The sequence below is a fragment of the Homo sapiens genome, chromosome 17 (genome assembly GCF_000001405.40).
Source record: "Homo sapiens chromosome 17, GRCh38.p14 Primary Assembly".
In the NCBI taxonomy this organism is placed as follows: Eukaryota; Metazoa; Chordata; class Mammalia; order Primates; family Hominidae; genus Homo; species Homo sapiens.
This window is the reverse complement of record NC_000017.11, coordinates 70,013,993-70,040,844: the sequence shown is the minus strand read 5'-3', so window position 1 is coordinate 70,040,844 and position 26,852 is coordinate 70,013,993. Positions and strand designations below refer to the sequence as shown.

The window sequence follows — 26,852 nt, the reverse complement described above, 5'->3', positions numbered from 1 at the left end:
AAGTGTTCTCAAACCCCCCAAAATGACATGTGAAGTGATGCATATGTTAATTAGCTCAATTGAGTCATTCCACAATGTATTTCAAAAAACTTGTTGGTCATGATAAATATATGCAACTTTTACCTCTCTAGTAGAATAGACAAATAAAATGAATTAAAAAAAAATGAAACAACCTAGTAACCATATATTAAAAAAAAATTCCCAGAATCTCATGACTGACACATCTGTCTATAGTCCAGAGTGCTTCCTCAACTTCAATGTGCTTATGAATCATACAGGAAAATTACTAAATATGCGATTCTGATTCACTAGGTCTTTGACGGGTCTGGCAATCCAACACTTCTAACAAGTTTCCAGGCAATGCCAATGCTGTTGGTCCTCAGTTCACACTGAATAGCAAGGGGATAGTGTAAGACTAGGGAAGTTGTATTATTATTTCTTTTCCAAACAATTTTGATGCAACCAGCCTAGGAACAGTTAATCAATATGCATTTAGGAACTACCACTCCCTACTCTTCTGGCTGTCAGCATGTGCTCCCCTGCTCTATTGCAGTAATTTATCTATGTATATGTTTGACTTGTATCCTCCGCTGTCCTGCAAATTGGTGAAAAGTTCAAGGATATTTGATATCCCTTTGGACTTCTCCATTGAGCAGAATGTCCATAGAGTCAATGGCCAATTAATATATGTTAAAAGAAAATGAATGATAAATTATCGGATAGAAAGTGACTTCAGGCCATGCTCCGTGGCTCATGCCTGAAATCCCAGCACTTTGGGAGGCCGAGGTGAGCGGATCGCCTGAGGTCAGGAGTTTGAGACCCGCTTGAGGTCAGGAGTTTGAGACTAGCCTGACCAACATGGTGAAACCCCGTCTCTACTGAAAATACAAAAATTAGCCAGGTGTGGTGGCGGGTGCCTGTAATCCCAGCTACTCAGGAGGCTGAGGCAGGAGAATTGCTTGAACCGGGGAGGCGGAGGTTGCAGTGAGCTGAGATCGTGCCACTGCACTCCAGTCTGGACAACAGAGCAAGAATCTGTCTGGGGAAAAAAAAAAAAAAAGAAGAAGAAGGACAGTGACTTCAAAGAGGCTGCTATAATAAATGCAGAGTGAAAATGAGAAATGATTTTAAATTTGAGATTTTATTTGAATTTTAACATAGGCTGCTTCCATTAAGTATGAAAGGATGTCCACAGAGTCAATGGCTAATTGAAAGGATACATATTAAAATCCATGGTTCGGCCTCTAGGGTGACACTTCCCAATGTTTCCTGCCATATTTATTATTAATCTGGTCTTGGATCTGTCTTAATTACAAGGTGTCTTGTTTTCTTCTTCTCACACCTGATTTCAGGATGCTGAGGTCAAACGCTCTGCTTTTCAAGTTCCCTGCATTACACTGTACCTTGTTTTGAACACCTGAAATGCATAAAATCTAGGGTTAACATGGATTTTATGTTGTCCTCTGGGGCAGGAAAATATAAAACCTGAGCTCCAGGAATTGCATATTTCCTGTTTTTATTGGTCATAAAGCTTTCATAGTGGGGCAGGTGGCACAAACAGAGACAAAATCGACTAAATCCTAGCAAGTCTCTTTCCCAGATGAGGGCTAGCCTCTCCCTCCATACAAAACCTTATTAAGACACCTGCACAGAAAACCTACTGCAGTACTCAAGCCCATTTTAAGCATGCAATTCAATGGCTTTTAGTAAAGTACCTAGTGGTGGTACATCTGTCTCACTATAATCCAGATTTATAATGTTTCAATCATCACAATAAGATCCCTCAGGCCCCTTCATAGTTAATGCCTGTTTCCACCTCAATTCCAGGTAACCACTAATCTATTTTCTGTCTCTATAGATTTGTATTCTCAGGACTTTGCACACAAGTGGAATCATACTATTACATGATATTTTGTACCTGGCTTATTTCACTTAGCATAATGCATTCAAGGTTCACCCACGTAATAGCCCGAAACAGTGCTTTATCTTATTATTGCTGAATAGTATTTCATTGTATGAAAATACCACATTTTATTTCTCCCTTCACTAATTAATGGAGATTTGAGTTGGCTCCACTTTTTGTCTATTATGAATAATGCTGCTATGAACATGCATGTATATGTTTTGGTGTGGACATATGTTTTCATTTCTTGGGTAGAATTTCATTTCTGGGTTATATGATAAATTTGTTTCACTGATTAAGAAACTGCCAAAGTGTTTTCCAAAATGGCTATACCATTTTACATTTCTCTTAGCAGTGCGTGAGGCTTCTGTTTCTCTGCATCCTCAACAACTGTTATTGTCTACTTTTTTGTTATCACCATCCTTGTGGATGTGAGATAGAACCTCATTGTGGCTTAAACTTGCATTTCCCTAATGACTAAGATATTGGGCAATTTTTTTTATGTGCTTACTGATCATTCGTATATCTTCTTTGCTGAAAAGTTTCAATAGTTACTTTCTTTTTAATGTAAAAGTGTCATAATGGTTCTTATTTCAACTGATTTCATTTATATGTGGATGACAACGTAAAACGTGCAAAGACCAACCATTCTCCAAATAGAAAAGGGCTGAATAGGCTGGGCACTGTGGCTTATGCCTGTATTCCCATCACTTTCGGAGGCCGAGGTGGGTGGATCAGCTGAGGTCAGGAGTTCAAGACCAGCCTGACCAACATGGTGAAACTCTGTCTCTACTAAAAGTACAAAAAACTAGCTGGCCGTGGTAGTGCATGCCTGTAATCCCAGCTACTAGGGAGGCTGAGACAGGAGAATCACTTGAACCGGGGAGGTGGAGGTTGCAGTGAGCCGAGATTGCACCATTGCACCCTAGCCTGGGTGACAAGAGCAAAATTCTGTCTCAAAAAAAAAAAAAAGGCTGAATAATATTAGTAGTAGATATAACAATAAATACATTTTAGGAAATGTATGCTTCATGTTATAGTATGCAATAAAAATGTTTTATTAACACAAAAGTTTTCCATTAATTAACTTGAATTTCAATTGACACAGTTCAGTTTTTTTTTCTTTTTCTTAACTCTCTTTGCCACTCCTCAGTCCTACCCACTATAAACCTAAATACCATGGTAAGCTATTACAGCATTGGGAACAGATGGTGAAGTTTTCCATAAAAGAGAAAGGGAAACAGACCTGTCTGAAGCAAGGTAAGTAAACACAGAGCACATGAATGGTGAGAACGAAAATAGAGTGTTAAGTATAAATTAAAAATAGAAAGCATGATTACTCAACTTGCTTTGGGAAAAAAATCTTTTTAGAAAATGGCTAATAGAAAGTGTGCGTAAATCAAAAAATGTTTAAAAGTCTTTGGAACATGGCCATACAACATTATTGGGGACAATAAGTAAAACATTCAGCAACAGTAAAACAGAGTAGAAGAAATTATCTAGATAATTTAGTAACAATTCACACTTTTATAAGGGAATGCTTTTTGTCTTATTTTGTCTTTATGACAATAAAAAAAGCTGTTGACATAAGTCAAACAAGAGGATAATTATTATTCTCTTTTCCAGTTCTATTTTATGTATAGTCACAAATAGTAAAAGGAAGCCAGACTTTCTTCTTCTTCTTTGAGTTTCTTCTATTAATAAAAAGAGAAAATACGGAGTAATCACTATTGTTACCTACAATACAGGTTATTGCCTTGAACTGAGCCAGAAGACTCTTAGTTTGCTTGTTGCTGTTGTTATTGTTGTGGCTTTTGTTCTTTATTTGTTTCTCTGATTTAATATCCATATTTTGGAAAAAATACATAAGGCTTACTTTAATTTCCATATCCTCTTCACAAAATAGAACAGAAAGTGTAAAGTCTTCTCTTTGTGATGGAAGAATGTTTTTTCAATCTTTGAATTCATGTGTTGTCTTTGGAAAGAACTTCTGTTACTCTTCTAATCACCAATTTAGATAATCACAGGCTTTGTGGAGTGACTATATATACATGTCATGTGTGAACAGCATTAAATGATGGTTATTACTAATAACACCTTACCTTTGTGGGGTTTCCAATGTATAATACTTTAATATACATTGCCTCACATAATAATATATACCTCACAGTATAATTAGGGGAGTTATTATACCCACTTACAGATTTAATAATTGAGACTCACAGAACTTAACTAGCCAAAGAAATACAACCAGTAAGCAAGGATGCCCAGCCTTAAACTTGGCTTCATCTGGTTCCAAATGCTGCACACTTTCAAGATATAACTTTCAGTTCACAGCTAGAAGAGTTCTTCAGAAGAGGCATTAGAATAATAAATCAATATTAATTACTTATTTTAATAATTTACATTTGCATAAATAAGTTATTACATTTCTAAGAGGTACACATAGAGAAACATTTCTTATAGATGTTTCTTTTCATTAAAATCTTAGCGGTGAACAGAATATTTTGAAGCAAAAAATCTAGAAAGACAGAATAAGAGTTAATATTTGTATCTCCCAAGAACCAACCTGCCTTGCTCCAATTCCTTTGTTTATATCAGTATTTTATTTCTCTCTGGGAACATGCAAATGAAAAGTGACTACAAGCATACAGGAAATGCAGATGAATAGCTTACCCGTGAAACCCAGACACGGTGTATAGGCCTTGAAATTCCACCATTTGGCTTATTTAGTTTTGTCTTATTGGAGGCAGTGTTCTCAATTCCATTCTTGGCCACACCACTTTTATCTATGAGTGAGACCCACATGAACAGAGAGACCACAAAACAAGGTAAATTTCTTGGGCAGAAGCCGCCTTCACCATACTCTAGTAGGACCAGTTCTAGCTAATTACTTTAGAATTCTTCCCCCTGGCAGCAGACAAGGGAAGTGAGGAAGGACTGGATACAACTGGAAAATAGTCTGGCTGGCTTTAGGATACGAGTCCAAGGTCAACCTTTCATATACCCTTTGGGGTAAAGCCCACCCACTCAATTTTCAGGTGAGATGATGAAGGGTCCACTTCATCCCTTGAGCCATGGAGATGGTGGTAGTGTGGCAGAACAGGAGGAGCTCAAACAGCCTTAAGCTTATGAACCTCATGACTCCTTACTTAACCTCAGCCTTGCCTTAGAAGGTAGTTGTAGCCGGGCGCAGTGGCTCATGCCTGTAATCCCAGCACTTTGGGAGGCCGAGGTGGGCGGATCACAAGGTCAGGAGATGGAGACCATCCTGGCTAACACGGTGAAACCCCGTCTCTACTAAAAATACAAAAAATTAGCCGGGCGTGGTGGCGGGCGCCTGTAGTCCCAGCTGCTGGGGAGGCTGAGGCAGGAGAGTGGCGTGAACCCGGGAGGCGGAGCTTGCAGTGAGCCGAGATCACGCCACTGCACTCCAGCCTGGGCGACAGAGCGAGACTCCGTCTCAGAAAAAAAAAAAAGAAGGTAGCTGTAAAGATCAAATGGGAATATTCTTTGTGCAGTGACAGGCACACTCTCATTAAATTCCTTTTCTATGTAAAAACCAGGTGTAGCATAAAAGCTCAAGTATGGTACATTTGAAAGGGAATAAGAAAGGAGGAAAAGAAAGGAGATAGAAGAGGCAGTTACAATGATACAAAAGTTGGTGTTTCAGAGAACTCATTGATAAACATACATTATATATATATAAGTATACGTTATATATATATATATATATATATATATATATATATATATATATAAAAAATTTGGTATAACTTTCAGAGGGAGTATCAAGGCCTGCATAAGCACATGATTTAGTTCTTGCTAATATTCTTACTTCACCTTGTAACACTCACCCTCCTTGTCCGAACACCTTGCCTTTTCTTGGAAGAGGATATTACTTAGGGCAGCAAGTTCAACGATTTTTCTATCCAGAAAATTCTGCTGTCACTTATCCACATGATGTTACTCTCACTAAACCTATATCTGATTTTATATCATGCAGCACCTCCTTAGAACAACTTCTTTGGCCACCTATTTAAAATAGAAATTCCTGATTTCACTGGCAGTGTCTTATTCTTCTCCTTGTCTCATGCTTTCCAATGCACTTACAATGACCTGATAAAATATATTTACATTATAACATTTTTATATTTTTTATATATGTATATATATTTGTCCATTTGTTTATTATGTCTCCACTCCCATCTTCTCCATGTTACCCTAATATTCCAGGACTGGAAAAGAACATTGTCTTGTTTATTTCTGTATCTATAGACCCTAGAATAATGCCTTGCACATAGTAGACACTCAATAAATACTTGCTGAGTGAATGAACAAATATTTACTTCTTCATTTCAGACTCAAAACTAGGAAAACTGTGCATTTCAACGAGCCTAAACCATACAATGTAATGAAATATAAGTTAATTCCACATACGTAATGCATCTTGCAAGCCTTACTTAAAAGCAATTTCATGAAGTTATGTAAATATGTACAAGGGAATGCAATGCCTTATCATTGGCCATGAAATCCTGGCAGAAAACTAACATTGTGTTTCCATGTTGAAGGCCTTCCTGTGTGGTCACCAGCTTCTATGTTATCAGTTCATAGGAGTCTACACCTTTTTCCTTTGAGTCACTTCCTATGAGCGCACATTTGATTACGGTAATTAAAGAAAACGTCTTCCTATGTGAAATAAGGTGTGAGAAAACAATCAAAAAAGTAAAATGGTGAGAACATTTCTCTGAGCAAAAGCAATTTCCCCTTTGAAAGTGTTCTCTATTATGGTCTCTGTGGAGGCATCTATTTTCAGTTTATTACTTCTCAATGATGAAGAACAAACTCATCTCAAGGAACTAAAATATCAAGATAAGTCACAAAGGTCACAGTTGGTAGTCCTTGTCAATCAAAATTCATAAGGTGCAATTCCATTAAAATAAACTCACAAGAGTAACTTCCAGAGAGCTAGTAAGTTTCTTTGGGAAGAAGACTGCTCCTCCTGTATTGTATTACATTAACAGCATGACATATAAAAAAGACATCTTCCAGAATAACATATAAAAAAGACATCTTCCAAGGTTCCTAATGTATTTCTTTGCAGAATTTAGTTTATAAGATACTGAGGATTCTACATCCAGTATCTCCAGAAACTTATGTAATTTCCAAATGGCTCTTTTTACTCGGAATTATGTTCGATCATTTAACACACAGTTTGAACCTTTGTTATGTACATTACACTGTGCATGGTTACATTTTAATTATAGTGTTAAAAATCAAGAACCTTTGCATACAAATCACTGTGTCAGGTGTGACTAAAAAAAACAATGATGATCAAGGTATGGTTTCCTACTTCAAAGGGTACCCAACTTAAGTGGTATGGACCATCAAAATACATATTATCTAGATAGCAAGAAAGCATAATAATATTACCAGGAAGTGGATGATAAAAGAAAATGAATGCCTCAGATGCAATTGGCTAGAAAAACAGGGAGAAGAGGAGGAGATACTACTTTCAGGCTATGGCAGGTAAATGGCTTATCTTGGTCACCATCCCAATTGAGGGTGGAGGGAAAATAATTTCTTTGCCCTTTGATCCCACTTGGCTCACATTAGCAAAACCATAAACTACTCTAGTTACTATCTCTAGAAAGCTTTCCCATCTGAGCACATATTGCTTTGGGCACACAAATGATACTATTTAGCAGTAGATGCATATGTGATAAATTACTTTTATAAGCTTTCATATGAGAGAACTTAGTTATTCTCTACCTTTTTCATCCATCAATAAGAATAGTACCTGTAAATGGGATGCATTACTAGATTCTGAAAGAAGCTAATGTTTGTGTTTGGTTAGTGTTGACTGCTTGCTCAAAGGGATTAAACGTGAAAGTACCTCAAGAAATAATGATATGCAAAAGTATGTTTCCATCCCCATTTTGTGGGAAGAAAAATGGTAAAGAAGCATCAGTCACACTTTGTGTCTTTGTGAGAAACAAAGAGTATAAAATCTGATTTCCCAGCATCTAAACATCCTTTGAATATGAGGCGAAATCCTTTGATAAGCAAGACAAGCACATCATTTATCATCTAAACCTGAATACATTTTGGAATAAAGGGAGCATTATTCATCATTACTCCTGAACAATGGGCTAAAATCATGGCTATTACCACAAACCAAGATTTGTGGCTACTCAAAGGATAGGTAGAGGTTGATGTGGTTTGGCTCTGTGTCCCTACCCAAATTTCACCTTGATTTGTAATAATCCCCACATGTCAATAGTGGGATCAGGTGGAGATAATTGAATCATGAGGGCGGTTTCCCCCATGAGGTTCTCATGATAGTGAGTAAGTTCTCAGGAGATCTGATGGTTTTTTAAGGGGCTTTTCTCCCTTTGTTTGGCACTTCTTTCTCCTACCATCATGTGAAGAAGGACATGTTTGCTTCCCATTCTGCCATGATTGCAAGGTTCCTAAGGCCTCCCCAGCCACACTGAACTGTGAGTCAATTAAAACTCTTTTCTTTATAAATTACCCAGTCTCAGGTATGTCCTTATAGCAGTGTGAGAATAGACTGACACAGAGGTGGAATTACACTTTCTACTATAAAACAAAAGGAGCATAAAGTATATCTTGCCTTTTCCTCTGGTGATATGGTTCGGCTGTGACCCCACCCAAATTTCATTTTGAATTGTAGCTCCCATAATTCCTATGTGTTGTGGAAGGGACATGGTGGGAGATAACGGAATCATGGAGGCAGTTTCCCCCATAATATTCTGGTGGTAGTGAGTAAATCTCATGAGATCTGATGGTTTTATAAAGGGAAACCCCTTTCACTTGGCTCTCATTCTCTCTTGTCTGCCACCATGTAAGATGTGACTTTTGCCTTCTGCCATGATTGTGAGGCCTCTCCAGCCATGTGGAACTGTGAGTCCATCAAACCTCTTTTTCTTTATAAATTACCCAGTCTCAGGTATGTCTGTATCAGCAGCATGAAAACGGCCTAATACATCTGGGAACCTAGACCCTGAACATATTAACAGCTCAACTAATCAGAAGCTGTGGCCTGCATTTGAAACTGAAAAAAAAAGGAAGAGAAGTGAAGGTATAGAGTCAGAATTTTTTCACTGTAATCTGGAGATTCCCAGTGGCATAACAACGAATATTTAGAGACAGTGGATACTGGCAGAGCAGCAGCCAGTGTCCAGGGGTGAAGGCACAAGAGACAGCAATATCAAAGGTTTGTTTGTCAACAGTGATACCATGAAGTCCACTGGGGACTCCTTGGCTGCACCTTTACTTCCTTGATTTCTCCCTGAGTCTGGTTCTCCAGCTTGAATCTGAGAGCTATTATAGATCTGATGAGCAATCCCTTTTCTGCTTAAGTTAACCAGAGTGGGTTTGTTGGTTTCTATTCCAAACAAGAATTCTGACTGGAACTAGTATGTTAGATTCCACAGATGATGATGAAGATGATGATTTTTCTCTTGACCATTTTAAATTGAGTGCCTCACATATTAACTGGGGATTGCACTGACAATATAATAGCATTTCTCTAATGATACCTTTTGGTTTTTAAATACTTTACTAAAAATAAGTATGAATTTTGTAACCTAAATCCTTTCCCTTTCTAGTCTTCTAAAAAAAGAAATCAATAGGGGCATTATGAAAGAAAGAGCCTGAGATATTTTAAGAAGTCACATACTGCTCAGTTGAAATAAAATATTCAGGGCTTTTGAGGCCCTTGTCAAATTATTTACCTTCATTTTTAGATGTAGCAGCTGAAGTACTGAAATAAACAAATATTCATTTGGAAGATTACAGATGGTGAATATTAACTGCTGTGTATATCAAATTTTTAATGGAGCTTTATAATTATAGTTAATGGATTTCATAATTGCTAGGGGCCTAGGGAAACGGAGAAATGTAAAGGATGCTAGAAAGCCAAGGAAGATAAATATTTGTTGGGATGGAGATATATAACACACTCATTGAAGTTTTCTAATTTAGGAGAATATGGAAGGAGAGCATGTGGTCCTTGTCTATGAATTGGAGGTCTCACAATAATAATGCAAAATCCACAACTTTCTACCAGAAGACAATTACCAGAGGACCTCAATTGGACTAGTAAGAGTCAGAACTTCTATCAGTTTGGTTTACGAGTCAGTGAATTACTGGGAACCACCTGATACTGCTGCAAAATGCGTAAGGGGAGCTGGAGCAGTATGAGTGGCCTCTTTTTAAGGAGAATGGAAAGGGAATAGCTCTAGAGCCCTGTAATTAGATTTGATCTGCCTTAGGACACATTCTGCTTATTTGGATGACAGCTTGGGACCCAATTCAACTTCTTGTGAATGGCTATTAAAGATGGGAGACCTAGCAGCTGCCAAGTTATGATCCAAGGTTAATTACCAAGCATTCTTTCCATCACATATCATGTCCAGCACATGGGAAAAAACCTAAACTATAAGACAATATTGCTTTGAGACCCAGGGTGGAAAATTAGGATATAATGAACTTTTGGTACCACTTGTTACTTCCCAATCCATTGAAGCTACATAAGTAGAACTTTTTTTTTTTTCTAAGAGAGTGTTAAGAGTGTAGAATTAGATTGGCTAATGAAAATGAGCTAAAAGAAGCGGAAAAAATGATTTCCTTACTCATGTATCCCTCTAGTTAACTTAAACTCTATTTGAAACAATACATTACCTTACTACATAAATTTTTTGACATAATTAATAGTCACAAAATTTAAATAGAGGATTTGCAACATCCTCCTGGTATTGTCTTGGAGGTGACTAGCTGTACAGAGCAAAAGACAAAGAATAAAGATGGCTGACTAGACACAGCTAGGAAGAGCTTCTTCCATCTAGAGCCATCAGACTCCCAAGCAGACCAGTATACTCCAAATAGAGATCCTTCTGACAGAATGTGCTGAGAGTGAATGAAGAGACAATGCAGACACAGGAGCTGAAGAAGGAGGAAGTTGGGAACCCTGTGTGCAACTGATGAACACCAGAACTCATTCCTGACCCTGAGCCACTCCTAAGGATAGTGGTGAGTGAAATAACTGCAGTGCAACCTACTCTTGCCACAGATCTCCCGTGTCTTGGCTGCAGAGCTTATGACCCCTATGGACAAGTAAGTTGACAGGGAGATCTGCGTGGAGCATCGGCAGAGACAGAGCCTGAGTCTATGCAGAGCCCAGGGGGTTTGGTGTGGAGATAGCTGCAAAGGAAATCAGCAATAGGTGCCTATCCCCCAAGGTTCTCCATACTCCCCCAGCTGGCTCTGACCTTTGCTAACAGTCAGGCCTGCAGACAGCAGGGCTGTGGAACCACAGTGAGTATGATCTATGTTCCCCCTTGTCTGCCAGTCCCTCCCGGAGTCCCTACCTGGAGGCTCCTTTGGGAGTGGACACGCAGTGCAGCCTCCACTGCTCTGCTGGAGCACATTTGCCAGTGACCACTGCCATAGCACTTTTACCAGCAGCCCCCTGCCACCTGCTGGAATGTTTTTTTGTTCCAGCTAGCCCCTGCTATCACACTGGAGCACTTTCATTAGCAGCCCCCAAGGGAGTGCTTTTGTCAGTAGCCTGGGAGCACCTTGGGCCCCCCCACCCCAGCACAGCTACTGCTTGATCTTGAGGGGCCAGAGGACAAAGCTATCAGCCTAGTCCCAGCTGCCTGGATTTAGAGAATGCAACCCAGGAATGTGGAACTGAGCCTTGGCCCTCTGAAGGCATCTAGAAATGAAGCCAATCTACCATACCTCAAGGGAAATGAAGAACATAAAAACAAACAGCCCCACCCAAAGGATATCAACTTAAAAGAATAAAGTTATATTAGTCCTCACAGATAAGAAAGAACCAGCACAAGAACTCAGGCAACTCTAACAGCCAGAGTGTCTTCTTATCTCCAAACAACTACACTAGTTCCCCAGCAATGGTCTTTAACCAGATTGAAATGGCCGAAATGACAGATATAGAATTCAGAATCCAGACAGCAAAGAAACTCAATAAGGTACAGAGGAAGGTTGAAACCCCATCCAAGGGCAACAGTAAAACAATCCAAGAGTTGAAAGATAAAATAGCCATCTTAAGAAAGAACAAAACAACTTCTGGACTTAAACAATTTATTATGGGAATTTCAGAATTCAACTGGAAGCATTAACAACAGAATAGGCCAAGCTAAGGGAAAAATCTCAGAGCTTGAAGACCATTCCTTTGAATCAACACAGGCAGACAAGAATAAAGAAAAAATAATCAGAAAAAGGAAAAAAAGCCTTGATTTAAGAAATGTGAGAGACTGTGTAAAGAGATCAAACATATGACTCATTTGGCATTCATGAAAGAGAAGGAGAAAGAGTAAGCAACTTGGAAAATGCATTTGTGTATATGGTCCATGAAAATGTTCTCAATATCACTAAAGAGGTCAACATGCAAATTCAAAAAATTCAGAAAGCTTTTGTGAGATACTATACAAGACAACCATCCCTGAGGCACATAGTCATCAGATTCACCAAGGTCAACACAAAAGAAAAAATCTTAAAGGCAGCTAGAGCGAAGGGGCATGCCACTTTCAAAGAGAACCCAGTCAGGCTAACAATGGATCTTTCAGCAGAAACCTTACAAGCCAGAAGAGATTGGGGGCCTATTTTCAGCATCTATAAGGAATAGAAATTTAAACCAAGGATTTCATATTCTGCCAATCTAAGCTTCATAAGTGAAGGAGAAATAAAATCCTTTCAGACAAGCAAATGTTAAAGGAATTCATTACCACTAGAACTGCCTGAAAAGAGGTCCTTAAAGGAGTGCTAAACAATGAAATAAATGAAATGAAAGAAAGGTACCTGCCACCAGAAAACTCTTAAGTACATAGCCCATGGACACTATAAAGCAACTACACAATCAAGTCTACTTAACAACCAGCTAATAACACAATGACAGAATCAAATTCTCACTTATCAGTATTAACTTTGAATGTAAATGGAACAATGCCCCATTTTAAGTGGGACATGCCCACTTAAAAGGCATAGAGTGACAAGTTGAAAAAAGAAACAAAACCTTTCTGTCTGCTGTCTTCAAGAGACTCATCTCAGATGTAACGACACTGATAACCTCAAAGTAAAAGATTTCAGAAATATGTGTCATGCAAATTGGAAAAAAGAGCAAGAATTGCTATTTTTATATCAGATATAACAGACTTGAAACCAACAATGATCAAAAAGGACAAAAAAGGGCATTATATAATGATAAAGGGTTCAATTCAACAACATAACTATCCTAAATATATATGCAGTCAAAGTTGTAACACCCAGATTTATAAAACAATTTCCTGGAGACCTATGGAGAGACTTAGATAACCACACAATAATAATGGGAGACTTCAACATCCCACTGACAGGATTAAACAAATTATTGAAGCAGATAATTAATAAAGCTATTCTGGACTTAAACTCAACACTTGAACAATTGGACCTAATAGACACAGAATGCTCTACCAAACCACAAGAGAATATACATTCTTCTTATCTGCACGTGACAGATACTCTAAGATTGACCTCCTGCTTGGCTGTAAAGCAAATCTCAAAGATTCAAAAAAAAAAAAAATAGAAATCATACCAAACATACTCTTGGACCACAGTGCAATAAAACAGAAATCAATAACAAGAAGATATCTCAAAACCATACAATTACATTGAAATTAAACAAGCTGCACCTGAATGACTTTGGATAAATAATAAAACTAAGGTAGAAATCAAAAAGTTCTTTGAAACTAATAAAAACAGAGACACAACACACCAAAATCTTTGGTAGATAGCTAAAGTAGTATTAAGAGGAAAGCTTATAGTGCTCAATGCTTACATCAAGAAGTTGGAAGAATCTCAAATTAACCAACCTAACATTGCATCTGGAAGTACTGGAAAAGCTAGAGCAAACTAACCCCAAAGCTAGCAGAAGAAAAGAAATAACCAAAATCAGAGAAGAACTGAACAAAACTGAGATGAAAAAGTTCATACAAAAAAAATCAACAAAACCAAAAGTTTGTTCTTTGAAAGAATAAACAAGATTAATAGACCATTAGCTAGATTAACACAAAAAAGAGATTCAAATAAGCACAATCAGAAATAACAAAGTGATATTACCACTTCTCCACAGAAATGCAAAAAAGTCCTCAGAGACTATTATAAACTTGTCTATGCAGACAAACTAGAAAGCTGAGACGAAATGAATACATTCCTGGAAACACATAACCTCCCAAGATTTAACCAGGAAGAAATTAAAATCCTGAACAGACCAATAACAAGTTCCAAAATTGAATCAGTAATAAAAACAAACAAATCCCTGGACTAGATGGATTCACAGCTGAATTCTACCAGACATATAAATAACAGCTAGTACCAATTCTACTGAAACTATTTAAAAAAAAAAAAGAAAATAATGAGAAGAAATACCCCCCAACTCATTCTATAAAGCCAGCATTATTCTGACATCAAAACCTAGCATAGATGCAACAAAAATGAAAACTTCAGGCCAATGTCTCTGATAAACAAAGATGTAAAAATTATCAACAAAATACTAGCAAACCAAATCCAGCAGTACCTCAAAAAGTGAATTCACCATGATCAATTAAGCTTTATTCCTGGGATGCAGGACTGATTCAAGCTATGCAAGTTCTTATAGACGCTGGATTTAGACCTTTGTCAGATGCATAGTTTGCAAAAATTTTCTCCCATTCTGTAGGTTGTCTGTGCACTCTGTTGATAGTTTCCTCTACTGTGCAGAAGCTCTTTAACTTTAATTAGATCCTATTTGTCCATTCTTGCTTGTGTTGCAATTGCTTTTGGTGCCTTTGTCATGAAATCTTTGCCATTCCTATGTCTAGAGTGATGTTGCCTAGATTTTCTCCCAGGGTTTTAAAGTTTTGAATTTTACATTTAAGTCTTTAATCTATCTTGAGTTAATTTTTGTACACGGTTTGAGGAAGGAGTCCAGTTTCCATCTTCTGCATATGGCTAACTAGTCATCCCAGCACCATTTATTGAATAGGGAATCCTTCCCCCATTGCTTGTTTCTGTCAGGTTTCTTGAAGATCGGATAGTTGTAGGTGTGTGGCCTTATTTTTTGGTTCTCCATTCTGTTCCATTGGTCTGTGTGTCTGTTTTTGTACCAGTACCATGCCTTTTTTGGTTATTGTAGCTCTGAAGTCTAATATCCAGCATCTGTAAGGAACTTAAACATATTTACATGAAAAAAACCCATCAGAAAGTGGGGAAAGAACAAAGTGAATGAACGCTTTTCAAAAGAAGACAGACATGTGGCCAAGAAACATGAAAAAAAGCTCAACATCACTGGTCATTACAGAAATGGACATCAAAACCACAATGAGATACCATGTCACACCAGTCAGAATGGCTATTATTAATAACAGATGCTGACCAGGTTGTGAAGAAAAAGGAATCCTTATATACTGTTGGTGGGAGTGTAAATTAGTTCAGACATGGTAGAAAGCAGTGTGGCGATTCCTCAAGGAGCTAAAAACAGAACTACCATTCAATCCAACAGTCCCATTACTGGGTCTATGTCCAAGGAATATAAGTCATTCTACCATAAAGACACATACACGTGTATGTTCATTGCAGCACTGTTTACAATAGCAAAGACATGGAATCAACCTAAATGCCCACAGAACTATAAACAGACATATTAGTATAAAACTTCATTTTAAAGAATGATAGAGTACAAACTCTATTTTTATGTGAGTGCCAACATACAATGGGAGAACAATTCTTATTCTGCTTCCAATCACGTGTCCCTGCCTGCAAAGGGGGAGGTTGGTTTGTTTAGTTTTGAATTAGTAGAGTTTTTGTTTTGTTGTTTTGTTTTTTGACACAAGGAAATATACCTCTATTTCTCTTCTCAGTGTTATTGTTCTCATTCTCTCCAGCTCCAGGTAGACAAAGCGTGTATTACAAAAGACAACTGGAACCAACGACATGCCCTAGATTAAAAAAAAAAAAAAAAAAAAAAAAAGATGTCTCTTTTAGATTGAGCCAACAGGGCAGGATTAAAGATTGGAATTAACTAGCGCATTAGGCAACACCAATCAGAAATTGTTTCTCTTATCTCTAAATAAGTCCTAGTTGGAATTCATTTTTGTAGTAGATAGAAATAAAAAAATTGCCACATTGAACCTACAGCTTCAGAACTCCGGCTGATTTATCCACTCAGTCAAGGAAATCACGAGAGACATTGCAAAGTGAGAAATCAGCATGTCTATTCATTGATGTTCAGCAGCCTGGGAAATAATTAGATACTTACCTCAGAAAATAAAGTTGCCTGGACTCTACTGAGACCTGCCAGTCCCTTCCCATTGTACATCATTACAGAGGGCATTGGAGGCCTGTGCTGCTGTATGGAACAGTAGTTGTTTAAATATGCAATATTTCCTTTGCAATCTTTGTGCAACATTTGTGCATTCCTCACCCCTTTCTCCAATGTTCTCAACTTGTATATACAGATTACTATAAGCTTCATTATGAAATCAGATGAGGTTATGCCCTCCAGACAGTACAAAATAATTCCTTTTACAGATAACACTGGAGAATTTCTTTATAAATTTATAAGATTTACTTCATACGATATAAATTAATACAGATGGTTTTTTTCCTCTCACAAAAGAAAATAGTATTAAAACCAGAAAGAGTGTATTTGTTGTTTTCTGTAACTGCAATGTTCTCTGCTTTCAAATAGGATTTCTAATTAAAAGACACAACTCTAGGCCAGTCGCGGTGGCTCACAACTGTAATCCCAGCACTTTGGGAGGCTGAGGCAGGCGGATCACGAGGTCAGGACATCGAGACCATCCTGGTTAACATGGTGAAACCCCGTCTCTACTAAAAATACAAAAAACTAGCCAGGCGCGGTGGCGGGCGCCTGTATTCCCAGCTACTCGGGAGGCTGAGGCGGGAGAATGGCGTGAACCCGGGGGGGCGGAGCTTGTAGTGAGCCGAGATCGCGCCACTGCACTCTGGCCTGGGCGAAAGAGCGAGACTCTGTCTCAAAAAAAAAAAAAAAAAAAAAAAAAGACACAACTCTAAAGAGCTCATTTTAAATACTACTATCTGCTGAAAGCAATGAAATAGGCAGATCAAGCTACCAAGCTGGAAATCCTTCAGTGCTTTTAAGTCTGTTCAATGTGGGGTCAAGTGGATGCTAAAGACCCTGATTTCAGTAAACTGGTTATTTCTGCCAAGGATTACACTTCTTGTCTGGCTCATAGCTCTCTTTCCCGGGGACAGTTATAGGAGACTGATTATTTTCTGAGTGACTGAAATGTTTAGACTTTTATTGTGGCCCACGTAAAATTCTATTACTATCTTAGATAAAAGGATGATGAGTTTTCCATTGGATAAATTCACTACCCTGTGAATTTTATGTAGTATTTTATGTAGTATTACCAATAAAGGATACAACAAAGGTATAGCCTTCAAAATAAAAACTATTTTAAAAGGGAATTTTAAAATGATCCCTAAAAATCTGTTGTTTTAGGACGTGAATCAGCTTAGATCGTTATAGAATAGATTGATCTAGATTGCTCTGTGAAATCTTTACCTTAGACACTCATTTTTACATAACTTCAGAAGTCAACCAGCCCAACTTCTTTATTTTACATGTGAAAAAAACCAGTATCAGGAAGGCAAGCCACCTTACTCAAAGTTAAAGAAAAAAATCCAAACTGTATTTGCATCATCCTTTATCCACATGGCTGCTACCAAAATTCAAATGAGAAATAAGATGAGAATAAATGGTGAGAGAAAGTTCATGAATAAGTTCCATGGGCAGATCAATCTTCTCACTTTGGTTATTCAGTAGAATTTCTCAACATAAAATTAGCTGCTGTTAACTGCATTCTAATTCCTCAGTTCCCTAATTTAGGGAGAAGAAACTGAAAATACATGGTTTCTCAATTCAATTTTGGTGGTAGACGTGTAGTAAATAAAACCAAACTATAAAACATAATGAAGATGACATCTAGCTCTCTGGCATGAATACTTGCAGGTAGCTCTTTGCATGCCATTTAAAGAATCCTAGAATGAGATCTGAGATTAGAGAAAAATGTTTTATGAGAAAATATTCATCGGGAAGGTGTTATTAGGAAGACAAGTTATCAGAATCTGCACCCAAAAAGAATCTGATTTAAGAAATGGATGTGTGAATATTTTTGCAGAAAAGGATTTTTGTTATCTACCATAACTACAGGATTAGCACACAGCAATTTCAAATCAGCCTATGGCTATGATTTTTCTAGGCAAATCATGATTAAATTATAAAGCATTTAATATTAAAACTTGATGGACAAAACTAATGTGAGGAAATTAATCCAGAGCTTCGTTAAAGTCAAGATAGATCACATATATCTTATATCCTTTAGCAACCGTATCTGTCAGTCAGTCACAGATGATTAGACTCATTCAGCTACAGACATTTGGAGCTGGCAGAGACTCAGAGATTAGTCTGGATGGTTTGAACTTATTCACTGCAAAGAGACAAGGAAAGTGGCATATCTGTCAATGGAGCTGCCGTTGAACAGGGCTTGGGAATTACTGCACTGCTAGGAAACAAGGCAACTTTATAAAAGAGAATTAATTATGCCATGATTCATAGTCACTGGCTGTACTATAAATACTTTTATGGAAGTGTTTTTCTTTTCCTTTTTCCTTCCCATTTTTTTTTCCCCAGAAAGCCTGTGTGGATGAATATTGCTTCCAGGAGTCACATAATTACATCTAAAATCATAGAATGTTAGAGCTGGAGGAATCTTTAGAGTTTGCCCAAGGTCCTTCACCAGCATTTTACAGGTGAGGAAACTGGAGCCCGGAAAGATTAAGAAGATTTCTGGAGGTCACAGAGTTAGTTCCTGGCAGGCTGCAAGCTGAATCCCCAAATCCCAAGCAGACCGCATTCCACTACACCTTGTCATTTTCCAGTGTAGGCAAGAGAAAAGCCCTGGACAGGGCACTGTTTCCTACAATTAGACCTCAGCCCCAGTGCCGTCTAATACTGGAGAACCTGAAGAATTTCTCTTCGCAAAGTTCACTGGTATTTCTGATCATTACTTTAATGAGAAGGTATTTTTAGCTTTTCTCCTCCCATGCGCATTCTTCCAACTTGCTTTCAGAGCTGCCAGCTTCAAGCTTACAGGCCACAATAACGTTACTATTTTTCTTTTAATTTAAGAAAATCATTTCAGTAATCCTTTACTGAAGGCCTTAAATGCATAAAGCTTTGTGCATGCAGTTATGAATAAAATGGAACCCCTCTTTCTAAGTAGTTTACAGGCTATTGTAGAATGGAGAATAGTGGGTTTCATCAAGGAAGGTGGTAGCAGAGTCATGTGAGAAGCTAGAATAAATAGGCACTACTGTCAGACCTTATTAAGAATCAGACGGATTCGACCTCAAGGTATTGCTTGCCCACTTCCTAGCTATGAGAGAATGAGCAGCTTACTTAAATGTGTTATGCCTCAATAGCTTCTTCCGTAAAGTGGGGGTAACTAGTAGTTACCCTCTAAGGTTGTCATGGAGATTACACAAGGAAGTGTATGTTCTTGCACAGGGCACATGGTAAAAATGCAATGTGTGGTTGTTATTATTAATACATATATTTTTTGAGACAGAGTCTCACTTTGTGGCTCAGGCTGGAGTGCAATGGCGTGATCTCTGCTCACTGCAGCCTCCACCTCCTGGGTTCAAGTGATTCTCCTGCCTCAGCCTCCTAAGTAGCTAGGATTACAGCCACGCACCACCACTCCCAGCTAATTTTTTTATATTTTTAGTAGAGAAGGGGTTTCACCATGTTGGTCAGGCTGGTCTCGAACTCCTGACCTTGTGATCTGCCTGCCTCAGCCACCCAATATTATTATTAATATTAATTGCGCCTACGTGGAATGCAAAATTAACTGGGAAAAGCACAAGCTGAGACTGGAGCAGAGTAGATGAGGGAGTTACTGACTGTCAGGAAGACAAATAGAGGAGGTGACCTTGAGAAATGCTTAGGATGTCAATGGGTAGAGATGTAGGGGAAACACATTCCAAACAAATTTAAAACACATATCTAGCACCGAGTCGGGACTAGTATGGACACTTTGATCTTAGGACATAAGAGGAACAGAAATAAATGAGGCTAAAAAGGGAGGCTAGGACCAAGATCCAAAGCCACAGAAAGTCTTTTTGTGTCTAGGAACATTTTGCCTAGTTATGAAATTATATCCTTTATTGTTTCGACATTAGAGCTATCTAATCAAATTCCAATTATCTAGCATTCCCCTTATGTACACAGAGATAGCAAAGCCTCAGCCCTTGTTTCCTCATCCCTAATCATGACTGCTCTGACCTAAGATGCCTTGAGATTTACCTGATGCCTGTCGACTTAGGAGCCCAGGATTAAAAAGGATGCTACAAAATGTCACAGTCAAGAATGGTCCGAGGTCACATGATGAGTAAATTGAGTAAATGTAATGTGGTGTCCTGGATGGGATCCTGGAACAGAAAAAGGACATTAGGGGAAAATCCAAAGACATCCGAATAAAGCACAGACTTTAGTTAACATTAAACTATTAATACTGATTCATTAATTGTGGCAGACTTACCATACTAATGTCAGCTATTAAAAATAGGGATAACTGAGTGCATAGCTTATAGGAAGCCTCTGTGTTACTTTCAAGATTTTTTTCTGTAAATCAAAATTTATTCTCAATTTAAAAGTTTACTTTAAAAAGGATGTAGCCTCAGCCTCCCGGGTAGCTGGGATTACAGGCTTTCACCACCATGCCTGGCTAATTTTTGTATTTTTGTATTTTTTTTTTTTTTAGCAGAGATGGGGTTTCACCATGTTGGCCAGGCTGCTCTCGAACTCCTGACCTCAGGTGATCCATCCACCTCGGTCTCCCAAAGTGCTGGGATTACAGGCCTGAGCCACTGTGCCTGGAGAATTGCTTGAACCCAGGAGGCACAAGTTGCAGTGAGCTGAGATCACGCCACTGCACTCCAGCCTGGAGGAAAGAGCTAGACTCCGTCTCGATAAATAAATAAATAAATAAATAAATAAAATAAAAAGCATGTAACATTTGAAAGGGGAAAAATTGTTCCTGGGGAGACTTATATTATCTTCCTTAACTTGCTGGTCTGGTGTATGCTTACCAAAGAAAACCTTCTAAACTACTCTTTCAACTGTTCCTTTTGAAATGACGGATGTTTTAACATGGAGAAAAACACATAAAAATATTTTTAAACATAACTTATTGTGACAAATTATTTGAGTAATCCCTTCATATTTTTTCTTTCAGAAGATTCTTCGATTTAACTGCTCTTAATTACATCCCGTTGCACTGGCCCCATCAAGTTGCTTTAAACAGCCCTTCTAGTCAACAGAGCTGCAGAGAAAAACCTTGGTTGGTTCAGGTCACTAGGATGCAGGTGCAAGTCATAGATATGAGACACTTGTGCATGGGCCACAGTAGAACAGCTTTGGGGATCCTTGGTTGTGGGTTGGAGAGTAGAGAGAAAATGGGAGGTGGGAGAAACATCTCAGTTTTATTAGATAAGTGGTTCTCAACTAGGGGCAATTGCCTGAAACTTAGGAATATCTGGTAAGGTCTGGAGACACTGGGTGGGGGAAGGAGGGAAAACTGCCGCAGGTATCTAGTAGATAGAGACCAGAGATACTGCCAAGACTCTGCAGTGCTCAAGCCAGCCCAGCCCACAGAGAAATTGTATCTAGCCCAGTATGTAAATAGTGCCAAAGTTGAAAAACTTTACATTAGATAGAAGAGGGGAAATCATGCATTTGCTTCCATTTTCTTTTTTTTTTTTCTTTTGAGAGGGAATCTCACTCTGTCACCCAGGCTGGAGTTCAGTGGTGCGATCTCGGCTCACCACAACCTCCATCTCCCGGGTTCAAACGATTCTCCTGCCTCAGCCTCCCGAGTAGCTGGGATAACAGGTGCCCACCACCACGCCTGGCTGATTTTTGTATTTTTAGTAGAGATGGGGTTTCACCATATTGGCCAGGCTGGTCTGGAACTCCTGACCTCAGGTAATCCACCCTCCTGGGCATCCCAAAGTGCTGAGATTATAGCCGTGAGCCACTGTGCCCGGCCTTGCTTCCATTTTCTATCCCCCAAAGACATTAATGACTATCTGAATTTATAAGCAGTTCATATTCTTGCAAATCCTAGTAAAGATGGCTACTCAGCCATTGTTACTATGATCCTCTTGTTAGAGAAAATGCTTGTAGAAGATTGACCTTGGGCCCGTTCTCACATCCTCCTGGTTCATCTTTTACTAGGACCATGGGCAGCCAGCTAGCAGCAGTGTGATCTGACAGCCCCTTTCTTCAGCTGAAACAAGTATCTTTCACTTCTGCCATGGGCCCTCTCTCACATCCACACAGTGAGATGATTATAAAAACATTCCCAGCACCAACACACATGAATCCTGGATGCTCTAGGGAGTTGCTGCTCCATGGGCCAACACTTGAACATGGGAGATGGAAGCTAGTGGATAAATACCCTTTTCTTCTTTCAGATGGGCAATTGTAAGCTGTATTATACCCAGTTGCTTAGAGGAACACTGTAGGGACAGGCAATGGAACTACTGAGCCCAGTGGAGATTAACTTAAGAATGTTCCTATTAATTGACTTCTCTGTTATCCTTGACTCATTTTCCCCAGTTCTCCACTCCTCATATCTGAAGTTGCTTCCAAAAATGAGCTGCCCACACACAGCCCTTGCCCCAGGCTTTGCTCTCTGAGAAACTTAGGCTGAGAACTTGTTCTTTAAGATATTCATCAAATAGTTTCCCCTTGAGTGGTGGATTTGGATTACTACAGATTTCTCAGACTCTCTCAGTCTTGGTTGCAAGTAATAATAATAATAATAATAATAATAATAATAATAAATATTAACAATAACAAAAGTAGTTATTTATGGTAGTTCTCCCTACAGAAAAAGAAATTGAGCTTCATAGTGTTTGAAACTTGCCCTAGTAGAGAGCCAGGATTTGATCCCAGTCGGCCTGAGCTCAAAATTCTTACCACACACAACGGCTAGAAGTTTTCCCAGAAGCAATACAATGTCTTGGTAGAATGTCTAAGAACAAAATATTTTATTCTAAAAAACAACCTTCTTACCATATCCTAATCCACTCAACTTTCATGGATATAATGCGAAGTCTAATGGAAAGGATATTTACCATCATGTTGGAATTTCAAGTGTGGCACATCTATATATAGTTATTGATTATAATTGTAGGACACCAAAGTGGGTTGAAGAGAGAAGAGGTCAATATAGAAAACACTGCACATATGTCTAATGACGGTGTGTATGTGTGTGTTCATGTGCATGTGTATAAATGTGTGTGTGTACGTGTATGTATGTTTGTATGTGTCTGTGTGAGAGACAGAGACAGGGAGGTTTGAACCTCAAGCTCTGAAGCCTAAAGATAAATTATAATTAGTTTTTGTAGCTCACTGCTTTATATTTTCAGAGCTGTCACACTTCATTTGTGAGAACACTCCAGAGCTTCCTCCAGCTGCTGATTCCAAACCAGCTTCACAGTGAGTGAGATTGTACAGACAGAGGAGTGGCTTTGCCTTTACAAAATTATGAAATACCATACCCTTCATAATATAATGGTGGTTATCTACAAATAGGGGTGCTCTTTAATTTGTGTGTGTGTGTGCGTATGATTAAATAGCCACATTTAAGGTTGCCAGGGCACTAGTGTTTGAATCAGGAAACCTAAATGTAACTTTCCTTAATTGTTTATAATATAGCCCTAAATAATAATGAGTGGAGTTAGTTGTAGTGGTAGTAGCAGTAATTACAATAAACAAATGTTCATTGACCATACTTTATGTGTCATTTTGCTAAATGCACTATTTACATTACCTCATTTAAATTACCTCAACAACCTCATGTAGTGAATACTATTATTATCACTATTTATCAGATGAGTTATTAATTAAGTGTAGAGAAGTTAACTTATCCGAAGAGGCATGGCCAACATACAGGATACTCAGGACTCAAATCAGAAGTCTCAATGTCCCTAACTGTTTTTCATTCTGCAGCTCTATAGAACCCTCTGAGCCTCCATTGTCTTACCCATGAAATGGATCTGGTAATACTTTCTCCATGCAGGTGTTCTTGTAGTAAGAATATCTATTTTATGGAAGGTGGAGAGGGGAAAAGTGGTGCCACAGGCTTAACTAGAAACTATTCCTTCGAATCCACAACCCAGTCCACCATTTTAGAGGATCACTTTTAGCAGACAAAAATGTTCATATAAGATAAATTTGAAGCATAGTAGATTATGCTCAAATTAACAACCTTCCTTTATACTTGGGAAAAATTACTCCTAAAGATGACCAAAAAGTCCCTGTGTGTTCTGGCTCCTGCTTTTCTCTCTACTCCATCTCCTTGTTCACTCCATCCAGGCATCCTAGCCTTTTTGATTTTTCTAAACTGTCCCAACCTCAGTCACAGCTCCAGAACTTTAGCATTCACAGGTGTTGGATCTGGGAAGACTTTCAGCAAGGTCAGACAGGTTGAAAATGTTGACATGGAGTTTGTTCTGTTGGCCCCCTCAGATGACCAAGCCCACATAAGTTGTGCACAATACTTCTTCTGAAAAACCTCTTTAGTCTGGTTAATTACCATGTTAGACCTGGGCAAGAAGGGTTGCTGTCCTGAGCCTAAAAGTGTAGAAAGCCTCACTCTGTCCTCCCATCAGCTTCAGTCCCTTCTACAGGGCTAGGAGTCTACAGGATGAAAGGGTCATGCCCTCCTGGTATCCACAACCTCTCCCCTTTAGACCACACTACCTATACCCAAAGGCCTAAGATTTTCTCCTTAAATGTTCCTGAGCCTGCTTCCACGACCTACACAGGCCTCTTCTTTTTCCCTAAATCTGATCTTCAGAGGCTGAGGAGTCACACCACAGGTGTATGCACCCTCTGGGCTCCAGAGATTACCAAGGGGTGGCTGAGAGTAGGATGTGGACAGAGTTTCAATGTATGGACTAGGATATCTACATGAAACGTGGAGGCTTCTTACATTGTAGGAAGGACCCAGGGATGAGAAGAGATTGGGGAACAGGCCTAGGGATAGGGTTAGCTCTCCTTTATGCTGCCATGTGCCAACAAAAAATTTCAAGAAAGGCAAGAATTCTATATTCAAAGCAGGCTTTCCAGGCTGTTATGAAGGCAACGTGTCAAGGTGGGAGAATAGAAAATATTGTATTGACAGTTTGTTAGCTAGATTTATAACTTTTAACTAGATGAGGGTGTGTGGGCCACCATTTGTACTGTCACTATGCAACCCAAAGATGTTTAGGGGAGAGCCTGGGTTCTGTTTACATGCTGTGAATGCCTTTCTTCAATCTTTAAACAAGAGGTTCCCTTTTGTCCTTCAGGTGCCTGGATACATGTTATCTTCTGAGAAAGGCCATCTCTAACCACTCTGTTCTTCCAGTACAAGCAAGCCGCTCCTGGGTCTTATCTCTATTTTATCCACAGAACTCATTTATTTCCTTGCTTTTTATACCTTTATGCCTGAATGGATGTTCCTTGGAAGCAAATTTTCCTTCTTTACTATTTCATTCCTAGTGTCTATAACATAAAATAAGTGTTCCACAAATTCTCGTATGATGAAAGAATAATAGAATATTAATATAATAGATAAATTAATAAAATACGTTCACCTATGTGCACTTTTACCTTAAATAGTAATAATAAGCAGTTTTAACGTGTCTGATGCTTTTCTAATGCCAGTGCACAATGCCTTCCTGTTTATTTTGGGCCTCTTAGGCAGCCAGCTAACTAGGGAGCTCATACCACTAAATGATTATTGTGAGAACGGAGCAGGAAAGACAGGCAGTAGATCCAGGATTCATCCATTTGTATTATGTTAAATACAATGGTAATCACACTATTTTACCCATTCTTCTCCTAGCTCCTTCTGAATCCAAGGCAAATAAACAAACTATGCAAAGAAATCAAACATGACTTCTTCTTGGTCCTATAAGAAGATTGTTCATGCTATGCTTGTTAGAAGAGTTACATGTATACCTATGATCTTCGAAGACTAAAGAAAATATCAAGGAAACGTATTTCAATAATGATATGGTCAAGACATAGAGTTTCTTATATTAATAATACAAAGTTCACTTTCTGAAAAAATGCACATATTGTTTAAGATCGTCACATAGTTTATATATTTTAATCGCTCCATAATTACGGAATTATTTTAAATAATAGCAATAATTATAATTGTAGTATTTAATGTCAATATTTCTACAAATTATATTTAAGTAAATAAGTATATTGTGAAAGGAGAGGGATTCAGGATCAGGGGTATGTTCAAAAATCTATTTGTTTTTGTCATTGTTGAATAAAAATCTCCCATCTCAAAATCTTTGTAAAAGGATATCCATGGAAAAAAGAACCTATTACTTTATTCTCCAGTCAAAATTAAAACTGGTTCACAATGGCCACATCTTCTATTTATACATAAAACACAGCTTTTAACATAGACTAATTTTTGTCTGTTAAAAATGAAATTGAGATTCAGTAAAGATGGATTCAAATTCAATACGTTAAATCTATTGTTTTAAATATACCAGGTCATGTGTGCTCTCTCTTTTCCCTCCAACCCATTTCACTCCCCTTCTTTCTCCTTTTGAACTGCTGACCCGAGTTAGTAGCCAAACATAATAATACAGTGTTTGATTCTCTGGAAACCCATAAAATTACAAACCAGCAACCACTAGGATGTTGGCAGAATTTCTGTGGACAGCAACCAGCATGGTACTTTTTTTCTTTTTGAAATGAAGCAGTACATTGCAATTGTTGATACAGTACCAAGGAAGGGAATAACGTCCACCATAT

At 38.4% G+C, this 26,852-nt stretch overlaps 3 long non-coding RNA genes across 3 annotated transcripts in view; 2 read left to right on the top strand and 1 right to left on the bottom strand.

Annotated features, from left to right (window-relative positions):
- The window catches only part of LOC105371881 (uncharacterized), a 78,916-nt gene that overhangs the window by 33,963 nt on the left and 18,101 nt on the right, over nt 1-26,852 (top strand). The window lies entirely within an intron of this gene.
- Nucleotides 1,123-4,666, bottom strand: LOC124904053 (uncharacterized). The gene is made up of 2 exons (XR_007065891.1): nt 4,580-4,666; nt 1,123-1,417 (listed from the first exon to the last, which is right to left on the bottom strand). It is a non-coding gene; the product is annotated as an uncharacterized LOC124904053 (long non-coding RNA).
- On the top strand, nt 3,077-26,377 carry LOC112267896 (uncharacterized). The gene is made up of 5 exons (XR_001752989.3): nt 3,077-3,163; nt 18,648-18,766; nt 21,253-21,382; nt 23,453-23,522; nt 25,918-26,377. It is a non-coding gene; the product is annotated as an uncharacterized LOC112267896 (long non-coding RNA).